At 39.3% G+C, this 20,971-nt stretch overlaps 1 protein-coding gene and 1 pseudogene across 3 annotated transcripts in view, besides 3 other annotated features; one reads left to right on the forward strand and one right to left on the reverse strand.

Moving 5' to 3' along the window:
* The window catches only part of ZNF267 (zinc finger protein 267), a 43,551-nt gene that overhangs the window by 2,165 nt on the left and 20,415 nt on the right, over positions 1-20,971 (forward strand). For 2 of the 3 annotated variants that reach the window (NM_001265588.2, NM_003414.6), the window contains 2 exons: positions 8,527-8,653; positions 9,190-9,285. In NM_001265588.2, the coding sequence (NP_001252517.2) occupies positions 8,620-8,653; positions 9,190-9,285 (130 nt within the window). In that variant the 5' untranslated portion in view covers positions 8,527-8,619. Of the gene's footprint in view, positions 1-8,526; positions 8,654-9,189; positions 9,286-14,235; positions 14,280-20,971 lie in introns of all 3 variants that reach the window. The other variant, NR_049749.2, reaches the window with a different exon arrangement.
* Positions 1,421-2,620: an enhancer, noted in NCBI's record as "P300/CBP strongly-dependent group 1 enhancer chr16:31888713-31889912 (GRCh37/hg19 assembly coordinates)". NCBI's record gives its function as "activates an origin of replication core promoter dependent on BRD2, BRD4, P300/CBP, MED14 and CDK7 cofactors, with strong dependence on P300/CBP, by STARR-seq in HCT116 cells {active_cell/tissue: HCT116}" and the evidence as "EXISTENCE:reporter gene assay evidence [ECO:0000049][PMID:35650434]".
* Positions 1,623-1,912: an enhancer, noted in NCBI's record as "active region_10769". NCBI's record gives its function as "activates an Ori minimal core promoter by ATAC-STARR-seq in GM12878 lymphoblastoid cells {active_cell/tissue: GM12878}" and the evidence as "EXISTENCE:reporter gene assay evidence [ECO:0000049][PMID:35858748]".
* Positions 4,073-4,573: an enhancer, noted in NCBI's record as "H3K27ac hESC enhancer chr16:31891365-31891865 (GRCh37/hg19 assembly coordinates)". NCBI's record gives its function as "activates a minimal SCP1, AML or CMV promoter by ChIP-STARR-seq in naive H9 embryonic stem cells {active_cell/tissue: H9 hESC(naive)}" and the evidence as "EXISTENCE:reporter gene assay evidence [ECO:0000049][PMID:30033119]".
* On the reverse strand, positions 18,128-19,226 carry LOC100422713 (PPFI scaffold protein A1 pseudogene; annotated as a pseudogene).

Raw genomic sequence — 20,971 nt, forward strand, 5'->3', positions numbered from 1 at the left:
TTTGGGAGTAATTTAAAACAGAATCTCAGGGCTCACCTTTTGGAAATGCTGCCAGGGAAAAGAAACAGAGAAAATCTTTCTTTCATTATTGGCTGTAGAAAGTGAATACATTTTCACAACAACGTGTGGTAAATTGGTGAATTACATAGTTTCATCAAAACATCAGTTTCTTTTTTTTGTAGGGTGAAGAAGTTATGACAGTGGATATCTTTGTTCTTTATCCTCTTGTCTGGATGTTGAGTTTATTTTTTATTTTTTGTTTTTGGAGACAGGATCTCTCCTCTGTCACCCAGACTGAAGTGCAGTGGTGTGATCACAGCTCACTCAACCTCCTGGGCTCAAGTGATCCTCCCACCTCAGCCTTCCAAGTAGATGGGACTTACAGGGGTGCTGCGCCATGGCTGGCTATTTTGTTTTTTCTTTTTGTAAAGATGTGGGTCTCACTGTGTTGCCCCCAGAGTGGTCTCAAACTCCTGGGCTCAAGTGATCCTCCCGCCTTGGCCTCCCAAAGTGCTGGGATAACAGGCATGAGCCACCATGCCTGGCCTTGGATGTATGGCTTTAATGCTGAACGTAGCACTGGCTAGAATTGTTTATATATGATTATTTACTAAATGATCTGTTATCATGGAAATAAGTAAGTGGCCTATTTATTGTCTGAAAGGGATAGATACTTTAGTGTTTTCTGTTGAGGTATAAATTATAAAGGCGTTTCACTTTCCTTTATTCTATAAACACTGTTTGAGTAGTTTTGCTTTCTTCCAACACTGGGCATTCTCATTGAATACTAATTGAATAACCCTGACTGGGAAGCAGAAGCCTGAGCTCAGAGAGTGCAAACTAACCTGGTCTTGAGCCTGCAAGAAGAGGTCACTGAAGCCCAGTTAGTTCTTCCAGGGGAGTTTCCCCTGCAGGTTTCCCAGCCTGCTCACCCCATCCATGGAAGGAGCCCTTTATACTGAGAAGCTACAGAGCCCTGGAAAGCTGAAAGCTGAAAATCCACAGAAAGAGGCATTTGGGGTTGGGATGGAAGGAGGGTTGGGAGGCTCTTTCTGAGGGTAGAAATTGTGATTGTCCTGATTTTGGTTTTTCTTCCCAGAAACCCAGGGCACTACAACCACTTCCATATAGTCGCCTACTCATTAATCATTTTAACACTCCCCCCACCCGACAACTGGTTTTCCCCCTGTGTTTTCCTAATGTGTGGCACGCAGAGTCTCAAATCTACCACTGTGTTCCCCCAGACTGAGGCTTGCAGTAAAATATTAAGTTTCCAGTTCCTTCCCCACATTTTATTTGATTTTGTCAAATAAAACAAATTCAGGTTTAGGTAAGAAGTTCCTTAATTCTAAAGGAGTATTGCAATAGGGGGAAAGCAACAGCTGTAAGATCTTTGTGGATCTCAAAGGTTAGGCAGACAAAGACTTTCTTTCACAGGGAGGAGCAAACAAGCTCAGAAGGTAGGAGGGGAAGGGCAGGATTAAGGTGCCAAAATCAGATTCGAGATCAGAGAATGTTTCACTCTGATGTCAGCCTGTTCTTAGGAGGGGCTTAGGGAGGGGTTGAATGTTGACCAGGCTGTGAGTGTGTCAAAGTCCAGCAACCTGGAGAAAAATACAAAGTTTTGTTAAGTAGTTTATTCTGAACACTGAAGACAGAGCTGTTCAGCTGAGTCAGAAGGGGAATTTGGAGAGTCTGTGGCTTTGTGATGACTAAATCAGGGAGCATCATCGAAGTCATAATAGGGTTGTTTTTTGCAGTAGGCTGTTCTTGGAAAACACAAAAGATGGGGGATTTCTTTAATCACAGCTATTTACCAGGTTACTGTTCCTATTTTTTCCCACTACTTTTTTTTTTGCCCTGTATGTATTTATCTCATTTGGCTGTTCTGAACTATATCCTTATGATAACCTGATAAACATAAGTAAAGTGATTTGCTGAGTTATTTGAGTAGATCTTTGAAATGATTGAACTTAAGGATAGGGTTATGGGTGCCCTCGATTTACAGGCAGTAGCTTGGAAGTATAGATAGGGCCCCAGGCATTGTGACTGGCATCTGAAGTGGGGGCAGTGTTGTGGGACTGAGCCGAGAACTTGTGGGGCCTGCGCTGACTCTGCGTGGTGTCAGAATTAAGTTTTTGGCACCCAGTTGATGTTGGAGGATTGGTTGGTGTTCAGCAAACTCTACACATTTGATGTCAGAAGACAGACCTCACAGAGGCCTGGGCTGGAGAGAGACTCCCAAGTGTCTGTGGGAAGAGAGGCTGTGTTCTGCACACAGGCTGCCCCACTGTGCATTGTCCTTTGATTCCAGGTCTCCTGCTAGGGTGAGAAGGGACTGAACACTGAGAGGAAAGGAGTTCTGAGAAGAGACCCCCTCCCCGACCCAGCTGCCACCACATGATTCCCACCCACTCCTGAACATACCAACTAGGCATTGACATGTCCCCGTCCATCCCAGGAGAAGGCTTGACTGTCAGGAATTGCACCCACAGCACCTTTGCTTCCGGTTTCCTGCCAAAAACCCACACAAGTGCCTGAGGACTCCTGGCTTGTTGTAATCCCAGACACTGAATCCGTAGCAGCAGCCTAGTTTCTCCATCAACCTAGGCTTGTGGACCATCCAATCATAATCTCATCTGCCTGCGTGGACCCAGGGATATGTCAGAGCATAGTCCCACCTGGGCCAGTATCTGTAGCACAAACCAGTCCTTCCACCAACTTGGTACTGCCCCCTGCTCATGGCTCAATAGCACCTTCCTCTCTTCTGCCTTTTACTTCCCCACAAGCCCCTTCTTTATGTGTACACGGTGTTCCCAAGGTCACCCCACAGGTGCCTGAATCCAGCACCTATTGGAACTCAGATGTCTGTGAGCTCAAGACCATGGCGCTAGATCTGGCTGTTGTAAGAGCAAATACAAATTAGAAATACAAGACTTAATCCTTCTTGAAAATAAGGAAAGAAATTTTTCTTTTTTTTTTTCTTAAAGCATTTACTTTGGAAAACTTTCATATGTAAATTATTTTTCTGTTTTACAACCTGTCTAAATCACTCTTAACAGCTAAATAGGCCATTTGTCAGTCTTTTTGACTCAGTACTGCCTTTCTCTAGGAACTGGGAATCATTGATATAAAATGTAAATAGCAAAGAAGATAGATCCATATCCTACAGTTTCTCTAGGAGGGCAGGCACCTGGCTCCAAGTTGCAAATCTGCCTGTCATAAAGACATGAAGTTTATTTTTCCTTTGACTATAGCCAATTAAAAAACACAGATGGCCTCCCAATTCCCAGGTGAATTTAGGATGAACTCTCTCTGACAAATGGTGCTGTCAGGTCTTCTATTGAGGACTAATTATGGTGACTTTTCACCAGTGGGTATTTTTCTAATCTCTTAGCAGGTTGCCTATCATTCCTTTACATTCTGGGCTAATTATGTCATAAAACAGTTTTCTTTCTTTTCTACCACTATGGATAGTTTTTCTGGGGTTGGAGATGATTTTATGATTTTCTTCTTCATTATATTTTTCAAACATTGCCCAGAATTACTACACAGAATATAAACCTGTACGATGCCTGTAAGACTTCACTCCAGTGGGTCCTTTCCCTCTTTGATTTCTGTTCACAACCCACATTTGTGCAGCAAAGTGCCCATTGCCCCGAAAATCTGCAGGCAGAATGGTCTTTCTGCTTACTTGGGATCTTCAGTCGCTTCTAGAATAGTTTGACTAGATTTCTATAAAAATAAGTTTACAGGGCATCAGTTAGCCATTCCAGCTCTGTCTTTCCATGCCCCTGGCATCTTCAGACCTGAAACTGATTCAGAGACCATGGGGGCTGGAAACCAACCAGGCACACACATACATTGAGCAGGCCGGAGAATCTCAACATTCCCTTCATCCTCTTGCCCAAATGCCCATGAATGTGCAGAAGGTGCATGCCACTTCCCTGCGCCACCAGCACCTAAATCTGCAGCTGTGAATTCTGAACCCAGGTCCTGAGGTTCTCCAGGATGTGTGAGAGCAGCCTTCCTGAAGGGCTGTCTCCTCTAGTTTTCTTCACAGCAATACACAAGAATTGCAGAGCCAGGTTGATTCCACCTGGGGTCTGCACATAAAGGCTGGTCTCCACCTGGGATCCACAAGACAGGGCCAGACTTTGGACTCAGGATATATAGAAAATCCAGGGGACATTTTCTGCATTGTGAGAGATCAACATGGACTTTGTAAAGCCCTACTTTTGGAGTGAGGCCCTCAGAGTTTTCAAGACCTTGTCCAGTGAGCTACAGCAGTTCTGTGAGTGGTTCCTTTTTATAAACAGAATCTCGTGGCAGAATCTGTAAGTGTAAAGCAGCACCTTAGCAGAGGGAGGGTGGGGCCACCACTGTCCAGAGCCATGAGTAAAGCTATGCCTACCTGTGAGCTGTGTTACTGGAGTAGGGTAATCTTGTCCTTTCTTGTACCCAAGAGTCAGCTGATCAGGTATAGGTAATAACATATCTGGATCCTGGATCTGTGGCCCTACTATGACAACTCAATTTTCTATTCTGGTTCCACAAGGACAACTTGAGTCTTTCCTGCCTGAATCACTATTGGGTTTTCATCACACAGTTACCAGGGACTCTCTTACCAGCACCTAGGGGACACTTGGTTATATATCCTGTGCAGGCAGGGGACAGGCTGACAACGGGCTAATCTTGCTTCCGTCTCAGAGGGAGAAGAATGAGTCATCAGGGTTTGTTTCTTTTTTAACAGAAGGAATCTCCTTATTTGGTATCCAAGTGGGAGTTGCTCCAGTTTTCTAATGTGTGGGTGAAATACAAGGAGGAGTTCTGGAGACTCATACTGATAGGTAAACCAATTGCTTCCATTTCATATGGCCACTAGGAAAACAGATGCAGCAGCCATAGTCCCTACCATCCAGGAACTTTCAGTCTAAAGCAGACGGATAATGGTTGAATTCAACATCATGTGGTCAGGAGCAAGAATGGAGGTGTACAGGGAACTTGGGCTTGATTTGGGACACTGCCCTTATGTTGACGTTGTGAATTCTGATGTCACCACCCGAAGGGCCACCCGTGGACAAAAGAGTTGTTATTATAATTATTATTTATATTGATTTTTTCTTGTTAAAGATAATTATGTAGCTACTAATATAATTTTCGTAGAAAGCCCTACATGTTTTGGTTAAATTGCTTGTTGCATGTTACAAAATAGGATGAAGCTTAAACTATTTAAACAAGGCAAACCATGGGAGTCAAGTTCTTGTTGGTCAGGCTTAGGAAAGACAGCTGAAAATAAAGCAGCAATGTAGAGATGAGAAGCCTAGCCCAGCCCCTGCCCCAGCTCTGCCCAAATCCAGCCTCTTCTGAGCCTGGTCCAGGTCTGTCCCTACCCTGGAGCCTCCCCTCACAGAACTGACTAGAGGAGATCAGATTTCTGGGTGGCCGCTGCTGCCATCTCTTCAGAGGTGGTGCTCACAATTTCCCCAAACCCAAAAGCAGGTAAATGGGAGCACAGGACTCACTTTTTCAAAATTATTTGAAAATTAAATTTTTTTCTTATTGAAACCAGTACCTTTAGAAACATTCCACCTGGCAACATCTTTTTCATTTCTGCAGATCCAGTAGTTGCTTCACAAGTTGTCACAAAGTCAGTATAAAGATATAAAGAGAATAATGAGAAATTCTTTTTCTTCTTCTTTTTTTTTTTTTTTTTTTTGAGACCGAATCTCACTCTGTTGCCTAGGCTGGAATAGTGTCATCTCGGCTCACACAACTTCTGCCTTCCCGGTTCAGATGATTCTCCTGCCTCAGCCTCCCGAGTAGCTGGGATTATAGGTGTGCCACCATGCACAGCTGATTTTTGTATTTTTAGTAGAGACAGGGTTTCACAATGTTGACCAGGCTGATCTTGAACTCCTGACCTCAAGTGATAACACCCATCTTGGCTTCCCAAAGTGCTGGGATTACAGGCGTGAGCCACCGTGCCCAGTGGAGAAATTCTTGTGAACTAAACTTGACTCCTTCCTTTCTGTATCCCTCCCATCTGTCTATAGTTAGCTTTTATAGTGATAGGGAAACAAGAAGAAATAGAAAGGCTGAGCCATTATCTAAATCCTGCTGGGAATTATGGGATACTTAGGACCCATATCCCAGGGGTTTATATGGCTTAACTCACACCATGTGATGTTCCCAGCACAGTACATACTGTGAGCACATAGTACAAGCTCAATAAACACTGCTTTAATGCATGTATCCGTGCTGTTTTCCAAATGCTGACTTAGACATAACTGTCTTCTCCAGTCTCTGTATCTGTAGACTTTAAATGGCTGGCAAAGGGTGTGATCTTTCAGGACAGTGGTTGGTGGTCCTCACTGTGAACGAAAAGTATTTTTGTTGTGATTAGAGTATTGGGCGTAAGGGACTCTGTGCTGTGTCTGCTTCCTCTAGCTGAGTGCTATTGATAATGGGTCTAGGAGGAGCAACATCAGCATTGACAGGGGACTTGTTAAAGAAGCCAGTTCATGGAAACTTTCCAAACCTGCAGAATCACATTACTTAGAGGGGGCCCAGAATACCAAATGATATGTATGCGTATTGAACCTTGAGAGGCAATGCTTAGCTAAGTGATTCTCAGCCCAGGCTTCTAAGTAGGGTCACATAACCAGTTTGAAGATCTATGGTCACCTGTATCTTCCCCCACAGATTGTTTTTTTATGATTATATTAAGATTATGATTTACTGTTCCCCTCCGCCCATATCACAGCAATGATTATGGGCCCATCTGTGCATTAGCACTGGTACCAATTTGTCTTATTACAGACGATGCTAACTTCATTCACTTGGTGCAGGTGCTCTCTGTCAGATTCCTTCGCTATAAAGTTAATCATTTTTCTCTTTGTAATGAGTATCTAGGAGGGAGGATTTACTGAGTGATGTCTATAAACCATCACATTTAATCCAGAGACTCCCATTTCTTTTTGGTTTCCCTTTGCTTGTAGCTTTCTTTGCAGAGTAAAGGCTCTCACATTTGTTGACAGGAGATAACAGCTTTTAAGACTGGAAGTTCTGAAGCAGGTCTCAGTTCTGTAGGTTTCCATTTTATTTCATCTCATGTCACAAGCATATGCTTATTTATTCTCTATATTTTCAGAGAAAGAACAAGAATTAACATATAACAAATATGTCTATTGTCTTAAAATTCTAAAATATATAATAGCACATAGAATAAACATAACAAAAACTTGAAAAAAAATACCAGACTCAGAAACAAGAGCCTTTACTTTATTTCATTGTATGTATTGGTCTTTATAAAGGCATCACAAAAAAGGCATCACCCACAAAGAGTTTTATAGTTTTTATACAATTTAAAATATTTTTAAATTTTATTTACACAGAAATATTATCTTACTTTTAGTGTGTATATAGTTACCATTATGTGCACATATGCACATAAAATGAAAGCATTATTCGATCACTATTGTGTGGCTGCTTTCTTGTTTTCGTTACTCAGTTACGAAATCTTCTCTGAACATTCTGTTAAGGTTGTCTCTGTATATTGGCCGGTATGTCCCTTTGAGATAAATTCTAAATCAGATAAACTGAGGCAAAATACAAACTACTATGTAGCAAATATTTGGAAAATAATTTTTATATAAGAGGAAGAATATAATTTTTCTCAGATTATTTATTGGGTTTTATATATGTAAACAACTTTTAGGATGATATCTGATATATTGTGCATGTTCAAAAAGGATTACTACCATTCTAGCTGTTATAACTTGTAAATTTCATAAAACTCTCAGTTTCACATCATGCCTGAATTCTTTCCTCAGTGTTCGACCTCTCTGCTATTCAAAAGTGGCTTTGGGGCCTGAAGCATTAACACTACTGGTGAACTTGTTAGACATGCAGATACTCAGCCAGCCATGGTGGCTCATGCCTGTAGCCTTAGCTACTCAGGAGGCTGAAACAGGAGGATCGCCTGAGCCCAGGAGGTTGAGGCTGCAGTGAGCCAAGATTCAACCACTGCACTCCAGCCTGGGTGGCAGAGCGAGACCCTGTGTCAAAATTAAAAATTAAAAAATATGGAAATGCAGAAACTCAAAATCTAGATCTCCTGAATCAGACTCTGCCTTTGAAGAAGATCTCCAGTTTATTGTTGTATACTATACAATTTGAGAAGTATGCCTCTAAGTCACCATGACTTTTGCACCTGAGAATTATACACAGCTGATTCTGGATGATGTAAATATAGCACCCAAAAATGTATATTCCTGTGTTGATGCCTTAGTTTTATATTTTACATTTGATATAAATATCTACACTAGTTTTGTGGATTTTATGTTATTTTCTTTCCACAGAGTTTGAGACTACATTAGAAAATATTACTGTGTTAAAAATGATCTTACTGAATAATTCAGGTCACTCATATATGTCAGAACCAATAACTGTCATTTCATCTTGGGACAAATGAAGAACTCTGCCATGGCCACATGGTCAGTGTATTCTTTATTTTTATTTCAGGGACTGTTGACATTCAGGGATGTGGCCGTAGAATTCTCTTTGGAGGAGTGGGAACACCTGGAACCAGCTCAGAAGAATTTGTATCAGGATGTGATGTTAGAAAACTACAGAAACCTGGTCTCTCTGGGTGAGGATAACTTGCCTTCGGAATATCTAATAACTAAGAGTTTTATTTTCTTTTCAGAATGTCCCTTGGGATCTTGTGCTTTGTATGAGTTAGTTTTAGATTCTTGTTTTCAGGAAAAAAATAGGGGTTTTGTTGAAGTAGAAAAAATTTCATAATGTTTGATTTTGACATTCGCCTTTTTATTTGAGGTGATGTACAAGTTTCACTCTAGTCGTGATTCTAGAAATTGGTTGACATAAACTATTGTTGCTTACACTTTAAAATCCAATTTTTTTTGTTTGTTTTTGATTCAGTCAGATTTGCAGAAGCTCAGGATCCCCAGATTTAAAATGCTTCCTAAATATTCTAAAGAAGCTGGTAGGAAACAATATTTTGAGAAATACTTTTCAAGAATCTTCTATAATGTCTTATTTTTTCTACTGAGCACAGTACTAAGTTAGAAATTAATCCTGTCCTGTGGGGCCAAAAAAAAGTATAAAAATAAAAAATAAAAAGAACCCTCATTAAGAGTCATGTGAATTTTTCCAATAAAACAGGTCTTGTTGTCTCTAAGCCGGACCTGATCACCTTTTTGGAACAAAGGAAAGAGCCTTGGAATGTGAAGAGTGAGGAGACAGTAGCCATCCAGCCAGGTAGGTGGGAGCGAATGAAGTAGATGACATGGGCGAGAGGTCCAGAAGTCAAGAAAGAACCAGACCTTGAAGTGTGGATTGGGAAGTTCTCCAGTGGAAATGATTTTTGAGACACCTGGCTTTATTTCTTTCCCTTGCTGTCAAAGAGGGACATCTTCTGTCCCATGCTCTTGAATTATCTGATGATTCTCCTTCCTCTTCTGTGATCCGCCATCATATTCACAGTGACAGCCAAAGTGCTCCCCTTGGCCTGTGAGGGCCTGCTTGATCTGACTGTTCTTCCATTGATTTGGGGGCTCTGGGAAAGTCTGTGCATGTTTCTACCTCTATGTGAAACCACTTCTAAAGTTCTGGTTTTGCCTCATGTCAGAAGTGTGTGAGGAGAGTGATGGACAGTGGAATTTTTTTCAGAAGTCTCAGGAATTCTGTGGATAGATGTCACATATTTTCTGATACATTAATTTTTAATCGTATTGTGGTTTCCAAGGTGATCCTATAGAAATTAAGATGCAGTAATTTTATGAAAATACAAGGCATCTTCCCAAATCTAAGAAAATCTAATCTTATGTTTCACTTCAACTTCTCATTTTTTCTCACCTGAACTAAGATGAGAAATTTAAACTCTATAGGCACAAATTCCACAAATGTAAAATAGTTTAATGTGTATTACTTATTATATAGACTTCTTATCTAAATTTTTGTCTATGGGGAGCTTAGAACATTGTCCAGTATATAATAAACTCTAAACTGTTGCCTTGTATCTTAATAACTATCATTCTATAATTTTGTCTGGTTCAGTATGAAGCTTACTGAGAATGTGTCCTTTAGTTCCTTTTTTTTCTTTCTAGACATATGATTCTTTCCACAATATAAATATTATCTATTTAAAGGTTACATCTTGATGATTTGATATACATACACATTGTGTAATGACTAACACAGCAAAGTTAATTACCACATCAGTCATCTCACATTAGATGCCAATTTTTGTGTGTGTGGTGAGAACTCTTAAGATGTACACTGTTAACAAATCTCAAGTATACTGTAGTGCAGGGGTCTATAGTACTGGTCTGTGGCCTGTGAGGAATCCGATCACACAGCAGGAGGTGTGACCATTGGGCCAGCAAGCATTACTGCCTGATCGCTGCCTCCTCTCAGATCAGCAGCAGCATTTGATTCTCATAGGAGTGTGAACCCTTTTGTGAACTGTGCATGCAAAAGATCTAGGTTGTGTGCTTTTTATGAGAATCTATCTAATGCCTGATGATCTGAGGTAAAACAGCTTCATCCCAAAACCACCCCCGACTCGACCTCCATCCATGGAAAAATTGTTTTCCATAAAACTGGTCCCTGCTGCTGAAAAGGTTGGGTACTGCTACTGTAGAGTATCATTAACTATATTTACAATGCTGTACATTAGATATTCAGAATTTATCTTGTAAATGAAAGTTTGTACTTGTTACCATAATGTCTACCTTGTTTATTCATCCATGTTGTCAGAAATTGCAGTACCTTCTTCATTATGTCTGAATAATATTCTATATATTGTGAATAATTGGCTATGAACATAGGGGTACAGATATATCTTTGACATATGATTTTATTTCCTTTGGTTATACAATTAGAAGTAGCATTGAAGGTTCATATAATACTATTTTTAATTTTTTTTGAGGTGCCTTCGTGCCATTTTTCATAATGGCTGAATCAATTTACATTTCCACTGACAGTGTACAAGGGTTTTCTTTTCTCCACACTCTGACTCTTAATATTTCTTGACTCTGACAGCAGTCATTCTAACAAGTGTGAATATTTATTTATTGACTCTTTGACAGCAGTTATACTAACAAGTGTGAGATGATATCTTATTATGGTTTTACTTGCATTTTCCTGATGAATAATAACATTGAGAACCTTTTTATAAACTTGTTTGCCACTTCCATGTCATATTTTGAGAAATGTCTACTTGAGTCCTTTGCAAATTTTTGTCAGATTTACTTTTTTTTTTTTTTTTGCTATCGAATTGTGTGAGATTCTTAATATTTTGGATATAAAACTCTTATCAGATCTATTTTCTCCCAGTCCCTGGGTCGCTTTTTCATGTTCTGTGTTTGCTGTGCATACACTTTTTTGTTTCATTTAATGCTACTTGTTTTTATTTTTTGCTTTTTGTTGCTTGTGATTTTTTGATGTGATAGCCAGAAAAATTATTGCCAAGGCCAGTGTCAAAGAGATTTTTCCTTATGCTTTGTTCTAGAAGTTATACAGTTTCTGGTTTTGCATTTAAGTGTTAATTCTTTTGAGTTAATTTTTGTACATAGTATAAGTAAATTTTATTCTTTTGCAGATGACTACTTTCTTTCAGCATTATTTGTTGAAGAGACTATACTTCCCCTTTGTGTATCTTGGTGCCCTTGTCAAAGTAATAGTTGACTGTATGCACATGGGTTTCTTTCTGGTTTTTGTATTCTATTCCATTGGTCTATGTGTCTGTTTTTACGTCAGTACCATACTCTTGATTAGTATAGCTGTGTAATAGTTTGAAATGAAGAAGTGTGATGCCTCTAGCTTTATTCTTCTTTTTCAAGATTGCATGGGCTATTTGGAGTTATTTGTGATTCCATTGAAGTTTTATAATTTTTTCTATTTCTGTGAAAAATGCCATTAAAATGTCAATACAGATTTCATTGGATCTGTGAATCATTTTGTGAAGTATGGACATTTTAGCAATATTTTTTCCAATCCATGAAGAAGGGATATTTTTCCATTTGTGTCTTTTTCAATTACTTTCATCAGTGTTTTATAGATTTTACTGGACAGATCTTTCACTTCTTTTGTTAAATGAAGTTATAAAATTTAAAAAAAATTTTTGATACTATTATAAATCAGATTTTTTTGTAACTTTTTTCTCAGTTTATTGTTAGTATATGGAAATGCTACTAATTTTTGTATATTTTTGTGGCCTCAACTTTACTGAATGGATATATTAGCTCTATTTTTTGTTTGTTTGGTATAGTCTTTATGGTTTTCTGTATCTTCAAATCACTTCATCTGTAAACAGTGAGAATTTTACTTCTTTATTCCTGATTTGAATGCCTTTTTGTTTCTTTTTCTTACCTAATTGTTCTGGCTTGATTTCTCACTACTATGTTGAATAGAAGTGTTGAGATTGGGCACCTCTGTCTTGTTTCTGATACTAGAGGAAACTTTCAGCATTTCACTGTTTACTCTGTTGAGATGGATACTTTTGTATGTATGTTGTTTGGAGTTTTTATTATGAAAATGTATTTACTTCTGTTATAGGCTTTTAATAAATTTTTTGAGAGGATTATATGATTTTCATCTTTTTGTTATTGTGGTATATCATTTAAATTGTGTATGTTAAAACATTCTTGCATCTCAGGGATAAATCCTACTTGATAATGATGTCTGATCCTTTTAATGTGTTTTTGAATTTGGTATCTAGTATTTTGTTGAGAATTTTTGCTTGTATCTTTATAAGGAATATTGTTTTGTTACTTTTTTGTAGTGTCCTTATCTGGCTTCAGTATGAGATGTTGGTGGTCTCATAAAATGAGTTTGAAAGTGCTTTTTTCTTTCAGTTTTTTGGAAGAGTTTGAAAAGTGTTGACATTGCTTTTTTAAATGCTTGATACAGTTTACCCATGAAGTCATTTGGTCATGGGATTTTTTTTAAATTGGAAGATTTCTGAGTATTTCTGTCTTCTTTCTCATTATTAGTCTTTTGGGTATTTCTGTTTCTTCACAGTGTGGTGTTCTTTCTAAGAATCAATTTCTTCTAAGTTATCTTTTTTTGTTATGTAATTGTTCATAATAGTTTCTTATTTTTTTTCTTTCTGTGATATCAGCTGGAATGACTGCTTTTTCATTAATAGCTTTTTGAGTCCTCTCTCTTTTTTTTTCCCTTGGATAATCTAGGAAAAGTTTGTTCATTTTGTTTTTTTTTAATGACTCAGTTTTTTGATATTTTTTATTTTTCTAGTCTCTCTCTCTCTTTGCTCTAATTTTTATTATTTCCATAATTATGCCAACACTGGGATTATTTTGTTCTTCTTGATCAAGCTCCTTGAGGATTACAGTTAGATTGCTTATTTGAGATCTTTGTTTTCCTTATTGTAGAACTTTATCATTTTATACTTCTGTCTTAGAACTGCTTTTGTTACATCTCAGAAGTTTTGGTTTCTTGTGTTTCCAATTTCATTTGTATCAAGACAATTTTTTATTTCCCTTTTGATTTCATGGTTGTTCAGAAGCATGTTGTTTAATGTCAACACTGTATTAGTCTATTCTATAAAGAAAAGAGATTTAATTGGTCTACAGTTCTGCAGTCTGTACAGAAGCATGGCACCAGCATCTGCTTGGCTTCTGGCGAGGGCCTCAGTAAGTTTGCAATCAGGGGAATTGGTAAAGGTAGAACAGGCAGTCACATGGCAAGAGCAGGAGCACCAGACTAAGTTGGGAGGTGCTACACACTTTTAAACAACCAGATCTCATAACATCTCACTATCAAGGACAGCACCAAAGAATTCTTGAGGGATCTGCCCCTATTATTCAGACACCCCATATTAGGTTCCACCTTCAAGAATGGGGATTACTTTTCAACATGAGTTTTGTGGTGGGAGACTAAACATCCACACTGTATCACACACATTTGTGAGCTTTCTAGTTTTCCTCCTGCTGTTGATTTTCTAGTTTTACACCATTATGATAAAAAACTTGATATAATTTTAATCCTAAATTTAAAAAGACTTGTTTTCTATTTTTGGTTTAACATATGATCTATCCTGGAGAATATTCCATGTATTCTTGAGAAGAATGTGTATTCTCATACTGTTTGATAAAATATTGTCTATTTAGTTTATGGTGTTATACAGGTGAACTCTTTTTTTTTATTAGTTTTCTCTCTAAATATTCCATGCTTTGTTGTAAATAGGACATTGAAGTTCCCTGTTATTGCATTTCGTTTTCTCACCACAGGTATGTTAATGTTTGCTTTATATATTTGGGTGCTCCAGTGTTGGGTGCATACATAGTTTTAGTTTCTATATCCTCTTAACAAATTAACTTCTTTATCATCATGTAGTGAACTCCTTTCCTCTTGTGACAGATTTTTGCATGGAAGTCTGTTTTGTCTAATATAACCAACAACCACTCCTGATTTTTGGTTGTTGTTTGCATGCACTGTGGTTTCTATTCTTTAAGTTTATGTTTGTCCTTAAATCAAAAGTGAGTCTCTTGTAAGCAGCATACTGTTAGTTTAAAAAAATTCATTTAGCCACTCTGTGTTTATTCTAGTCTGTTTTGTTTTCTATAATAGAATACCACAGATTGGCTAATTTATAAACAGGGGTAGTTTATTTGGCTCATGATTCCAGGAGCTTGGAAGGCAAAGAAAACGACATTGTTATCTGGTGAAGGCCTTTTTGCTGCATAGTAACATGGCCAAAGGCCTGAGGGAGAAGAGAGCTCCCTTTTATAACAGACTCACTTTTGTGATAACTAACACACTCCCATAAGGACATTAATTCATGAGGGCAGAGTCCCAATGGCCTAACCACTTCTTAAAGATCCCACCTCTTAATTCCATCACAATGGCTATTAAATTTTATCCTAAATTTTGGAGGTGACATTCAGTCTATACCAGTATCTGTTTATTGGATAATTTAATCTCTTTATATGTAAAGTAATTATTGATACATAAGGATTTACTATTACAGTTTTATTGTTTTCTGTTTTATAGTTTCTTTTTTTCTCATGCTGTCTTCTGTTAATTTTTGGATTTGTTTTTGTTGTTTTTATGTTTTGATGGCTTTTTCCATTTGTGTATCTACTACAGTTTTTTCCTAGAGGTTATCAGGAGACTTAGATAAAATATCTTATATTTGTAACAGTCTAGTTTAAGATGATAACAATTTAACATCTATCCATAGAAAAAAACTCCACAGTTTTTCTCCCTTTCACACATTTTATTACTGTATATGTTATACTTTATAACTTTTTATACTGTGTATTCATTAACAAATTATTGTAGGTATACTTATTTTAATGCTTTTATTTTGTAGCTTTTATACTAGAGTTAAAAGTGATTTGTACACTAACGTTATGGTATTAGTGTATTCTGAATTTCACTATGTATTTACCATTTCCAGTGACATTTATACTTTTAATTTTTTGTGTGTTTTTCATTAGCATTTGATATGGTTTGGCTGTGTCCCCACCCAAATCTCATCTTGAATTGTAGCTTCCACAATTCCCACATGCTGTGGGAGGGACCCAATGGGAGGTAATTGAATGATGGGGCGGGTCTTTCCTGTGCTATTCTTGTGATAGTGAATAAGTCTCACGAGATCTGATGGTTTTATAAAGGAGAGTTTCCCTGCACAGGCTCTCTTCTCTTGTCTGCTGCCATGTGAGATGTGCCTTTCACCTTCCACCATGATTGTGAGGCCTCCTCAGCCATGTGGAACTGTGAGTCCACTAAACCTCTTTCTTTTATAAATTGCCCAGTCTTGGCTGTGTCTTTATCAGCAGTTATGAAAACGGAGTAATACAGTAAATTGGTACCAGTAGAGTGAGGTGCTGCTGAAAAGATAGATACCTGAAAATATGGAAGCAACTTTGGAACTGGGTAGCAGGCAGAGATTAGAACAGTTTGGAGGGCTCAGAAGAAGACAGGAAAATGTGGGAAAGTTTGGAACTCCCTAGAGACTTGTTGAATGGTTTTGACCAAAATGCTGATAATGATACGGACAACAAAATCCAGGCTGAGGTGGTCTTGGATGGTGTATTAGTCTGTCCTCACACTGCTGATAAAGACATACCCAAGACTGGGTAATTTACAAAAGAAAGAGGTTTAATGGACTTACAGTTCCACGTGGCTGGGGAGGCCTCACAATCACAGTGGAAGGCGAGGAGGAGCAAGTCACATCTTACATGGATGGCAGCAGGCAAAAAGAGAGGGAGCTTGTGCAGATAAACTCCCCTTTATAAAACCATCAGATCTCCTGAGACTTATTCATTGTCACAAGATTAGCACAGGAAAGACCTGCCCCCATGATTCAGTTACCTCCGACCAGGTCCCTCCCACAACACATGGGAATTGAAGATAAGATTTGGGTGGGGACACAGCCAAACCATATCATTCCGCCCCTGGCCTCTCCCAAATCTCATGTCCTCACATTTCAAAACACAATCATGCCTTCCCAATAGTCCCCCAAAGTCCTAACTAATTTCAGCATTAACTCAAATGTCCACAGTCCAGAGTCTCATCTGAGACAAGGCAAGTCCCTTCTGCCTGTGAGCCTGTAAAATCAAAAGCAAGTTGGTTACTTCCTAGATACATTGGGGGTGCAGGCATTGGGTAGCCATTTCAAATGGGAGAAATTGGCCAAAACAAAGGGGCTATAAGCCCCATGCAAGTCCAAAATCCAGCAGGGCAGTCAAATCTTAAAGCTCCAAGATGATCTCCTTTGACTCCATGTCTCACATCCAGGTCATGCTGATGCAAGAGGTGGGCTCTTACAGCCTTGGGCAGCTCTGCCCCTGTGGCTTTGCAGGGTATAGCCACCCTCCTGGCCGCTTTTACTGGCTGGCATTGAGTGTCTGCAGCTTTTTCAGGTGTCCAGTGCAAGCTGTCAGTGTATCTACTATTCTGGGGTCTGGAGGACAGTGGCCCTCTTCTCACAGCTCCACTAGGCTGTGCCCAAGTAGGGACTCTGTGTGGGGGCTCCAATTCCACATTTCCCTTCTGCACTGCCCTAGCAGAGGTTCTCCCTGCCCCTGCAGCAAACTTCTGCCTGGGCATCCAGGCATTTCTGTGTATCCTCTGAAATCTAAACGGGGGTTCCCAAACCCCAATCCTCGACTTCTGTACACTCACAGGCTCAACACCACGTGAAAGCTGCCAAGGCTTGGGGCTTGCACCCTCTGAAGCCACAGCCTGAGCTCTGTATTGGCCCCTTTCAGCCACTGCTGGAGCCGCTGGGATGCAGGGCACCAAGTCCCTAGGCTGCAGGCAGCATGGGGACCCTGGGCCTGACCCAGGAAACCACCTTTTCCTCCTATGCCTCTGGGCCTGTGATGGGAGGGGCTGCCATGAAGACTTCTGACATGCCCTGGAGACATTTTCCCCATTATCTTGGTGATTAACATTCGGCTCTTCATTACTTATGGAAATATCTGCAGCTGGCCTGAATTTCTTCTCAGAAAATGGGATTTTCTTTTCTATCGCATTGTTAGGCTGCAAATTTTCTGAACTTTTATGGTTTGCTTCCCTTATAAAACTGAATACCTTTAGCAGCACCCAAGTCACCTAGGTTACAGAGCTGCTTTAAGATTCACAATGAGACTAATGTTAGCAGTCATGCCTTTATGGGCACAGATGTGTGTGCCTTCAGGGATGTCTCAGGTTAAGCATAACTGCTCCTGAACTGTGGCTGCATGCAGCTGGAGCCAGGTTACAGTGCCACTTCAGGTCCACATTCAGATAATTGTTGATGGTCCTATATATAGAACCACAGATAGATTTTTTTCCCTGAGAATCTCTGTGTGGGCAGGACTTTTTTTCCAGACCATGGGTGAGAGGTGAAGAAGGTGGGTTTTGCCTGATTCATGTGTCACAGACAGGACCAAATTCTGCATGTATGTCACCTAAGACTTAGGTGGGTATAAGTTGTCCTCTGTTCTTGGCAGATGGTCCTAGTGACAGGACAAAGGCCAAGTGGGTTATAGCTAAGTCTACAGTGGGATGTGGCAAGTTTTTTTCTGTAGCCAGGACCATGATCAGCAAGCCTGCCACTTGGCCAAGGGCAATGTCTAAGGTCGACCAGCAAGGTCACATTTTTCAAAAGTAGTGATTCTCTCTTCATGTCTTCCTTTTGGGCCATGGCTTTATGGACATCTTCTTGCAATTTGGAGTTCATTTCTTCAAATTTGATGAAATCTTTTCTAGATTTGAGGAAAATCTTTCAGATCCTCTTCCAGCTCTGTCACATGACTGGAGAGGGCAGCCAGGTGCTCTTTCATTTGGCTGTGCTCCCTTGACTGTTTATGATTTCTTGGACCACACTTACTTTAGCAAGGTCTTCCTTATAGCTTGAAGAACCATCAGAAGATCTCTTTCCGTTCATGTTTGATGTATTTTCTTGTTCATGGTTTATGTTAAGCACTCCACCTGTTAGTGTTTTTTTTTTCTGACTATTCTGTTGTTTAAGAATCATTAGCTCTTTGTGTGTGACACCTAATTCTTCTTCTAACAAACTACATCTTTCAAGTGCTGCTCATAATCGCGCTCTCACCTTTTCATCCAGAGCTTTGTGCTGTTCAGATAATGACTTCAGTGCTTTCAGCACTTCAGCTTCGCTGGACATGCCTGCTGGAGACTGCACTTGTTTCTTCATCACTGTCATCCTGAGATACCGCTCATGCCTGGAGACAGGGCATTCCAAATGCTCTAATAGTAGCCTGGTGGTGTTCCTTTCTGCTTTCATTTTTCAGCAGTTTCTTCTTTCCTTTCAAGGAGCTGTTCCCTGCATACATTGACTTCTTTAGTAAGTGCCGTGAACTCCTGTGGAGGTGGAGTGTTGAGCTGTCTCTGCAAGGAATCTCTTTCATGACCAACCTCGTGTGATTTCCCCTGGGTTAGTGCCAGCATTTCTGGAATCTCAGTGTGTTAAGAAGACAGCCTCTTTCTTCTAGCATGCAGACCATCAATTGTTCAAAATATGAAACTGCGTCTGGCTGTGAAGGGGAGCCGGACCCATGGCTCCCACTTCCTCCCAGGGGGCCTTCTGCTTTGCTGATGGCCGACATCACCTCTCATATCATCTTGCTTGCCATGGGAGCTGATGAGGAGGCTCTGCAGTGTCTAGCAGGTGGGTGTGAGCTCTGGGTGAGCTCGGGAGCTGACGAAGGCAGCCTGCGGCCAGACATTGGTAGACAAAGTATTTGCTTTTCTACATATGGCTTATTTCACTTAACATGAGATTCTCCAAGTCCATCCATGTTGTTTCAAATGACAGGATTTTATTCTTTTTTAATGGCCGAAAAGTATTTAATAGTATGTACGTACAGCACATTTTCATTATTTATCTGCTGCTATACACTTGAATTGGTTTTATATCTTGGCTATTATAAATAGTGCTGCAATAAACATGGGAATGCAGATATCTTTGTCAAACTCTGATTTCCTTTCTTTGGGGATATATACCCAGTAGTGGAATTGCTGGATCGTATGGTACCTCTATGTTTGATGATTTTTTGAGGAATCTTCATACCATTTTCTATAGTGGCTATACTAATTTATAATTCCACCAACAGTGTTTATACATTCCTATTCTTCACCTCCTCACCAACACATTTTTGTTATTATGTTTTGTCTTTTTGATTATACCCATTGAAACTGGAGTGAGGGGGTCCCACTGGGTTTGGATTTGCATTTCCTGTCTGATTAATGATTTTGAGCATTTTTTATGTACCTGTTGGCCATTTGTATTTCTTCTTTTGAGAATGTCTAGTAAGGTCTTCCACACATTTTAAAATTCGGTTATATGTTTGTATTATCTTGAAATCTTAAAGCTTCTTATATGATCTAGATATTAACACCTTTTCATATGTATAGTTTGCAAATATTTTCTCACATTGTTTAGGTTGTCTTTTCACTCAGTATTTTCATTTTGTATTTAAACTCTTTTTAGTAGGATATAATTATATTTGCTTTTTCTTTTGTTATCTGTGCTTTTCAAGTCTTTATTTTTAAGAAACAGGGTCTCACTCTGTCACCCAGGTTAGAGTGAAGTAGCATGATCATAGCTCACTGCAGGCTTGATTTCCTGGGCTCAAGTGATGCTCCTGTCTCATCCACTTGAGTAGGCTCACTATAGACACGTGCCACCACACCCAGCTAGTTTAAAACATTTTTTTTTAGGGACAGGATCTCACTATGTAGCCCAGGATGCCCTCGATTCCTGACCTCAAATGATTCTCCCACCTTGGCGTCCCAAAGCATTGGGATTACAGGCATGAGCGAGCCACTGCAACTGGCCATGCTTTTGAAGTCTTATTTGAAAAATATTTTCCAAGTCTGTACTAAAGCATTTGCCCTATGCAAATGCCCTATGCAAACTATGAAATAGTTTGGGCTGATTACACTTAATTCTTTAATCCAGTTTGACTTGATTTTTTTGGTATATGGTGAGTGGTAGCAGTGTAGTCTCATTCTTCTGCATATGGATATTCAATTTTTCCTGCATCATTTATTGAGGAAACTGTCTTTTCCCCAAAGTGTATTCTTGGCACATTTGAAAATCAGTTTGCTTTAGATGCATGAATGCATTTTTTGGCTCAGCAGGCATATTGGTCTATATGTCTGTTTGGTGCCAGTACAATACTGTTTAGTTTACTGTAGCTTTGTCGTAAATTTTGACGTAAGGTATTGTATTGTCTCCGGATTTATTCTTTTTGCTCAGGATTGTTTTGGCTATTCAGGGTCCCTTGTGGTTCCATATAAATTTAGAATTTTTTTTTCTATTTCTGTGAAGAATGCTGGTGACTTTTTGATCAGAGTTGCATTAAATTCATAGATCATTTGGGGTAGTATGGCCATTTTAATTATATCTTTTCAATCTATGAACACAAGATATCTTTTCATTTATTCACATATATTTTATTTT

The sequence above is a fragment of the Homo sapiens genome, chromosome 16 (genome assembly GCF_000001405.40).
Source record: "Homo sapiens chromosome 16, GRCh38.p14 Primary Assembly".
NCBI classification, from domain to species: domain Eukaryota; kingdom Metazoa; phylum Chordata; class Mammalia; order Primates; family Hominidae; genus Homo; species Homo sapiens.